At 45.2% G+C, this 8,357-nt stretch overlaps 1 long non-coding RNA gene across 2 annotated transcripts; it reads right to left on the reverse strand.

Moving 5' to 3' along the window:
• Positions 1-29: 29 nt before the first annotated feature.
• On the reverse strand, positions 30-8,143 carry LOC102723656 (uncharacterized). 2 transcript variants are annotated; one of them, XR_927276.2, is made up of 3 exons: positions 7,380-8,143; positions 6,464-6,528; positions 30-70 (listed from the first exon to the last, which is right to left on the reverse strand). It is a non-coding gene; the product is annotated as an uncharacterized LOC102723656 (long non-coding RNA). The 2 variants fall into 2 exon arrangements; XR_428152.3 differs by lacking the exon at positions 30-70 and adding an exon at positions 887-926.
• Positions 8,144-8,357: the final 214 nt, after the last annotated feature.

Below are 8,357 nucleotides of genomic sequence, written 5' to 3' on the forward strand. Positions count from 1 at the left end.
TGGAAGGTTGAGGCTGCAGTCAGCTGTGATAGCACTACTACACTCCAGCCTTGGACAAGAGAGGGAGACCCTGTCTCAGAAAAAAAAAATAGGTTAGAAATTGTAATGAGGTCTGTTGGGCAAAATTCCATATAAGCAAAGTATAAATTAATAAAGCAAATGGTGATAAATTAGTACGATTGACTTTCTGGAGTTTCTGACAATAAAAGTAAGGAAAATGCAAAACACAAAGACAGAAAGTAAAAAGAGAAATTAGGAAAGCATTCTACATGTTTAATAGGAAGACACTGGCCATGTTCGTGCAGCGGCAGTATGTCATGATATGACATACCTTGAAGAGAAGTTAACAGATGAGGAAGTTGATAAAAATGATCAGAGAAGCAAAATACTGGCAGCGACACTCAAGTAAACCACGAAATTTCCATAACTTATGTCAGCAAAGTGGGAATATTGTACAGTGTGTGTTGAAGTTCCTATACAACATTGTTTATCTGCCTTTTGTTTGTAAGGAATGTATATACTAAAAGTTCTTCTTGCTGTCAAAAGAGTATGTGTGAATAAGTCATTTTAACTTATTCTTCTGTTTTTCTTTTATCTTCCTGCCATCATCCCACAGCCTTACTTTAGAAATTTTTTTTTAGAAAATTGAACAAGTGCTCCTTGTGGTGGCACATACCTCTAGGATGGGAGGCAGGGGTGGAAGGGTCATTTGAGGCCATGAGTTTGACACCAGCCTGGCCAACAAAGTAAGACCCCATGTCTACAAAACAATTTAAAAATTAGCCAAGTATCGTCATGTATACCTACAGTCCCAGCTACTCAGGAGGCTCAGGTAGGAGGATCCTTAGCCCAGGAGTTCAAGGCTGCAGTGAGCTGTGATAGCACTACTGTACTCAAGCCTGGGTGACAGGGTGAGACCCCATCTCCTAAAATAAAACACAAAGAAAAAAAATAGTTCAAGTAGCAAGTTGTATGTGGCTTACTCTGAATATTTCTAAACTAGAAATTCTCAATCTTTTGGGGTCTAACATCCCTTTACATTTTTTAACTTTATTGAAGATCTCTAGGACTATTTCTTTCTGTAAATAATTAAAACTAGAAAATAAGACAAAAAATTTTAAATATTATTCATTACATATTAATAAAGCCGTTACATGTTGATATAATACAAGATTTTAAAAATATTTAATATTCATTACATATTAGTGATAAAACCATTACATGTTGATATAATACTTTTTTTTTTCTTTGAGACAAAGTCTTGTTCTTTTGCCCAGGCTGGAGTGAAGTGGCGCAATCTCAGCTCATTGCAACCTCCGTCCCGCAGGTTCAAGCGATTCTCCTACCTCAGCCTCCCAAGTAGCTGGGATTACAGGCGCCCACTACCATGTCCGGCTAATTATTGTATTTTCTTAGAATTCAAGACCAGAGAAGGCTGGTCTTGAATTCTTGACCTCAGGTGACCCACCCGCCTGGGTCTCTCTAAGTGCTGGGATTACAGGTGTGAGCCACCACGCCCACCCCGATTAATATATGTTTTAAAACAATGATTAGTCAGGCAACAACACCGGGCAGGGGTCTCCTCATTCCCAGAGACGCAAACCCCACTGCACGGCTGAGGGGTTGCAAGGGCTGCAGAGCCAAAAGGCTCTGACTTGAGATGTCATTATTTTACTTGTATTTTTATTTGTATTGTGAGACAGGTCCTGCTCTGTCACCCAGACTGGAGTGCAGCTGTGCACTTACAGCTCACTGCAGCCTCGACCTCGGGCTCAAGCCATCTTCCTGCCTCAGCTCCCCAGTAGCTGGTAGTACAGTTGAGTGCCACCATGCCTGGTTATTTTTTTAATTTTTTTGTAGAGTGAGGGGTCTTGCTATGTTGCCCAAGCTGGCCTCAAACTCCTGACCTCAAGAGATCTGCCCACTTCAGCCTCCTGAGTAGCTGAAACTACAAATACACATCACCATGCCTAGCTACATTTATTTCATTTTGAAAAATATTTTTGTAAAGAGCAGATCTTGCTGTGTTGTCCAGGCTGGTCTTGAACACCTGCCCTTAAAAGATACTCCCACCTCTGCTTATCAAACAGCTGGGACTACAGGCATGAGCCACTGCAATGAGCCTGAAGAGATTTCTTTAATCTAGCATCCCATACTTGGTAGGATTGGGAAAGGCAGTAGTGTTTTTTAAAATTACTTAATAATTTCAGTAACAATCAAACTCAACCTTGACCCCTGCCTTCTCTCACACCCCATATCCAGTCTGTCAGGAAATCCTGTTGACTGTCTTCGACATGTACTAAAGATCCCCACCCAGCAACTCCCTGGCCTCCTCCCCTACTTCTCCCCTCTGACCATCTCTCAACACCACCATGGCCCTGGTCAGGACAACCATCATCTCCCGCCTGGATGTTGCCAAAGCTTGGCCCCCATGCTTCTACCCACATCTTCCCATAGTCTTTTCTCAACTCAGCAGCCAGAGAACGCTTTTAAAATGGGAGACAGATCATGTCGCCTCTCTGCTCAGAACCTTCTCGCAGTTCCCATCTGAGTCAGACTAAAAGCCAAAGCCCCAGCAATAACCTCCCAGGGCTTATGTGATCTGTACTGATCCCCACCCAGCAACTCCCTGGCCCCCTCCCCGAATTCTCTCCCTCTCTCCGTCTGCTCCATGGGCCTCCTTCCAGAGCCTCAGACACACCTCAGACACTTTATTCTATTGTTTCTGTCTACGAGCCTCTTCCCTCAGCACCTTGGCCAGCTCCTTCCCCTCCTTCAAGTCTTTACTCAATTTTCACTTAGGAGGCCACCCCTGACCATTCTATTTAACATTGCCATCTGTCCCCATGCCCACCATGCTCATTTCTTCTTTCTTTACTTTCTTCTTTCTTTTTTTCAAGATCTCACTGTCACCAAGGCTGGAGTGCAGTGGTGCAATCAAAGCTCACTGCAACCTCAAATTTCCAGGCTCAAGCGATCCTCCCACCTCAGTCTCCCGAGTAGCTGGGACTCCAGGTTCACACCATCATGCTTGGCTAAATTCTTTAGTATTTTATTTTATTTTATTTTATTTTGAGACAGAGTTTCACTCTTCTTGCCCAGGCTGTAGTGTAATGGTGCGATCCCAGCTCACTACAAACTCCACTTCCCAGATTCAAGTGATTCTCCTGCCTCAGCCTTCCAAGTGGCTGGGATTACAGGTGCGTGCCACCACGCCCAGCTAATTTTTCTATTTTTAGTAGAGCCGGGGTTTCGCAATGTTGGCCAGGCTGGTCTCGAACTCCTGACCTCAGGTAATCTGCCCGCTTCGGCCTCCCAAAGTGCTGGAATTACAGGCGTGAGCCATCATGCCTGGCCAGTTTTTTCATTTTTTGTAGAGACAAGGTCTTACTATGTTGCCCAGACTGGTCTTAAACTCCTGGCCTCAAGTGATCCTCCTGCCTAAATTCCTAAAGTGCTGGGATTACCGGCATGAGCCATCATGCCTGGCTTCATGTTCATTTCTTCTTGCTGCTGCAACATAGTTTGCAGTTTCCTACATTTAGTGGCTTAAAACACCACAAATCTACCATCTTACAGTTCTAGGCGCCAGAAACCCAAACTAGGTCCATTAAGGCTAAAGTCAAGGTGCCAGCAGGGCTGCATTCCTTCTGGAGACTCTAAAGTGTTCCCTTGGCTTTTCTAGCTTCTAGGAGCCACCCCCATTCTTTGGATCATGGCCCCTGACTCCATCTTCAAAGCCAGAAGTGAAGCATCTTCAAATCTCCCTCTCTTACCTCTGCTTTCATCACCACATCTCCTGCTTCAATTCTGAATCTCCTACTCTCTTTCTTTTATAAAGACCCTTGTGACTGCTGAGCATGGTGGCTCCCACCCAGAAGCCCAACACTTTGGGAGGTCAAGGCAGGAGGAACACTTGAGGCCCGAAGTTTGAAACTAGCATGAACAACATAGTGAGACCCCCACCTCCAGAAAAAAATAAAAATAAATATTAGCCTGACATGGTGGTATGCGCCTGTAGTCCCAGCTACTTGAGAGGCTGAGGTGAGACAATCGATTTAGCCCAGGAGGTTGAGATCAGCCTGGACGACATAACTAAATCTCATCTCTACAAGGATGAGGTGGGAGGATCACTTGAGCCCAGGAATTTGTGGCCAGCCTGGGCAACAAAAGAAGACCCCATCTGGCCAACATGGTGCAACTCCGACTCTACAAAAATGAGCTGGGCATGGGTGACATGCATGTGTAGTCCTAGCTACTTGGGAGGTTGAGATGGGAGGATCGCTTGATCTCAGAAGGCCAAAGCTATAGTGAGCTATGATCACATCACTGCACTCCAGCCTGGATGACACAGGGAGATTCTGTCTCAAAAAAAAGAAAAGAAATATATATTTCATCTCTGTCCCTGGTTCCTGGCACAGAGCTTCTAAAGCTCTTACAAAGACCTCAGTGATAGATGTGACAGGAACATCTTTTGTTTTAATATTTTGTTGTTGAGATGACGTGGTGACTGCAAGCTCCTAGATTTCTTCAGGAGGAGGGCTGATTGCCAATGGAAGCAACCACATGATTAGACGCTTGGAACTTTCAGCCTCATGCACTGAACTCCAGGAGGAAGAGGGGCTGGAGACTGCCTTAATCACCAACGGCCAAAGATTTTATCAATCATGCTTGCATAATAAAGCCTCCATAAACACCCTGAACAGGGTTTGCGGAGCTTCTGGGGTTGCTGAACACAGGAGATGCTGGGAGGGTGGCATGTTCAACAGAGGGCATGGGAGCTCTGTGCCCCTCCTAACTTACCTTGCCCTGGGCATCTTTCTTTTTTTTGAGATAGGGTCTGGCTCTTTAGTCCAAGCTAGAGTGGAGTGGCACAATCTCAGCTCACTGTAACCTAAGCCTCCCCAGTCCCCAGCTCAAGGTGTCCTCTCACCTCAGCATCCCTAGTAGTTGGAACTCTAGGTGCACACCACCACACCCGGTTATTATTATTTTTTTATTTTTTATAGAGACAGGTTTTCACCATGTTGCCCAGGCTGGTCTCAAACTCCTCAGTTTCAGCGATGCTCCCACCTCGGCCTCCCAAAGTTCTGAGATTACAGGCGTGAGCCACTGCATCCAGCATGTACGTCTCTTTCATTGGCTGTTTCTGAAATGTATCTTTTGCAATGAACCAGTAATAGGAAATGAACTGGCCAGATGCAGTGGCTCACATCTGTAATCCTAGCACTTTAAGAGGCAGAAGTGGAAGGATCACTTGAGACCAGGAATTTGTGGCCAGCCTGGGCAACACAACAAGACCCCATCTATACAAAAAATAAATTAGCCAGATGTGGTGGTGCAGGCATGTAGTCTCAGCTACTAGGGAGGATGAGGTGGGAGAACCACTGGAGCCCAGGCAGTCAAGCCTGCAGTGAGCTATGACTGCACCATTGCACACCAGCCTGGGCAAAAAAATAAGACCCTCTCTCTCAGAAAAAAAGAAAATAAACTGTTTTTCTGAGTTCTGTAAACTGTTCTAGCAAATAATTAAACCCAAGAATGGAGTTATGGGAACCCCCGATTTGTAACAGGTTGGTCAAAAGTACAGGTGACAACCTAGGACTTGCCATTGGCATCTGAAGTGAGGATGGTCTCATGGGACTGAGCCCCTAACTTGTGGGGTCTGCGCTAACTCCAGGCAGTGTCAGAATAAAATCATGGGATACCCAGTTAATATCCAGAGCACTGGAGAATTTGGTGTAGAAACTCCATACATACATTCAGTCGGAAGTGTGTGAGCAGAGACAGACACAGGCTTTTCTTTCACCTGTCTACCTGCTTAACTGCATAGGAGAGGCAATACGTGGTGCTCATGAACAAAGCAAGCATTAAAGTCAGACCAGACCCAACATTCGACTCAGTCTTAATATCCAGGTGAGCTTGGGCAAATCACTCATTATTGCTAAGTCTTCATCACTTCATTCGTAAAATGGGGATAACTGTGGCACCTACCTGTGATTCTGTGAGAATTAACGAAATATTATGCTTGGTGTTACTGTGATCATTATACCTATTCCAAACTATTTGACAAGGACAGTGATGGATGACAACATCAAAAAATTAGAAACTGTAGTGATCAGGCAAAATTCCATACAAGCAAATTACTGTCTCCACAAAGCATTCCTGCCACACTTAATTCACCATTCCCTGAACAAGATGTGCCATCTTCATTGTCCAGGTCTGTGCAGTGCTGGTTTCCCTGCCTGGGCAGCTCACTCCATCCCATTCCAGCCCATTCCCCATCCCTCCACCTCCCCCTTCCCTCCCCACTCTCATACAACTCTTCCTCATTTTTCAGGACTTAGCTTCAATGTCACCTTAACTGGAAACTTCTTTCAGCCTCCAAAAGAGCTTCCCATTGCATTTGATGCATGCACTATTATTTGACCATTTTTGAGTTATAGTCCAAGTCTTTTTGTACCTGAATAACATGTTACCCAGTCAGTCTCTTTTCCTGGATTCAGAAGTCTTTCATGGTAGATCCAGCTGGAAGTGACAAATACATTCTTTTGAAATAAAGGGATGACACAAACAGACATAAGTTCTTAAACGTCTTAAATGGTATGTGAAAATTAAACAAAATTCAAAGACTTGTGGGAACACTTAGAAGGAAAGTTACTGGGAATGTCATAAAGGGTTAATTTGTATTTTATTTTTTGAGACATTATTTTTATTTGATTTTTTATTTTCTGTCACCTAGGCTGCAGTGCAGTGGTGCAATCAGGGCTCACTGCAGCCTCGACCACCTGGGCTCAAGTAATCTCACTTAATTTTTATTTGGTTTAAGAAACAGTCTTGGTTGAGGGTGGTGGCTTATGCCTGTAATCTCGGCACTTTGGGAGGCTCAGAGAGGTATATTACTTGAGGCCAGGAGTTTGAGATCAGTCTGGGCAATATATTAAGACCTTGTCTCTACCAAAAAACAGAGTGAATGTGTGGAAGACAATTTTTCCACAGACTGGGAGTGGAGGGAATAATTTCAGGATGATTCAAGTGCATTACAAATATTGTGCACTTTATTTCCATTATTATTACGTTGTAATATATAATGAAGTAATTCTACAACTCACTATAATGTAGAATCAGTGGGATCTCTGAGCTTGTTTTCCTGCAACTAGACTGTCCATCTGGGGTGATGAGAGACAGTGACAGAACATCAGGCATCAGATTCTCGTAAGGAGCGCACAACCTAGATCCCTCGCATGCACACTTCACAACAGGGTTCGTGCTCCTATGAGAATCTAATGCTGCTGCTGATCTGACAGGATGTGGAGCTCAGGTGGTCATGCAAGCGATGGGAGGGGCTAGAAATACAGATGAAGTTTCCCTTCACTCACCTGCTGCTCACCTCTGGCTCTGTGGCCCTGTGGTTGGAGACTGCTGCTCAAGTGCATTCGAAAGGATCCATCCCATGCTATTCTTCAGTCATCTTTACTGCTACAGTGGTCAACTGTAGCACCCCTAAGCTTGCAGGGCATATGCTTCACCTGGTATTTCTTTTTTTTGTTTTTGAGACGGAGTCTCACTCTGTCGCCCAGGCTGGAGGGCAGTGACAGGATCTCGGCTCGCTGCAAGCTCCGCCTCCCAGGTTCCCACCATTCTCCTGCCTCAGCCTCCCGAGTAGCTGGGACTATAGGTGCCCGCCACCATGCCCAGCTAATTTTGTGTATTTTTAGTAGAGACGGGGTTTCACCGTGTTAGCCAGGATGGTCTCGATCTTCTGACCTAGTGATCCGCCCGCCTTGGCCTCCCAAAGTGCTGGGATTACAGGGGTGAGCTGCCGCACCCGGCCTTCACCTGGTATTTCATCACAATCAACAGTAAGTGGTAGCTTGAGTCATTGTGAGGTCACTTCCTGGAAATCACCAGCATCCCATATCCCATTAGCAAGGAGCTCAGCACTGCTCCTTGGATAACCAAACTTATTCCCAAATCCCATCTGTGTGGGTCTATCTCCTGGTACCCTTCCTACCATCAATTCTGTATTTGTAGGAGTCCAATCAGGAGACACAAACCACTCAAAAGTTTAAACTAGAATGAGCAAGGTGGCTCACACCTGTAATCCCAGCACTTTGGGAGGCCAAGGTGGGTGAATTGCTTTGAGCTCAGGAGTTTGAGACCAGTCTGGGAAACATGGCGAAACCCCATCTCTACAAAAAACACAAAAATTAGCTCGGTGTGGCGGCACTTACCTGTAATCCCAGCTACTCAGGAGGCTAAGTCAGAAGAATTGCTTGAGCCTGGCAGGTGGAGGCTGCAGTGAGCAGAGGTTGTGCCACTGTACTCCAGCCTAAGTGACAGCGTGAGACCTGGTA

This window comes from Homo sapiens, chromosome 7 (assembly GCF_000001405.40).
Source record: "Homo sapiens chromosome 7, GRCh38.p14 Primary Assembly".
In the NCBI taxonomy this organism is placed as follows: domain Eukaryota; kingdom Metazoa; phylum Chordata; class Mammalia; order Primates; family Hominidae; genus Homo; species Homo sapiens.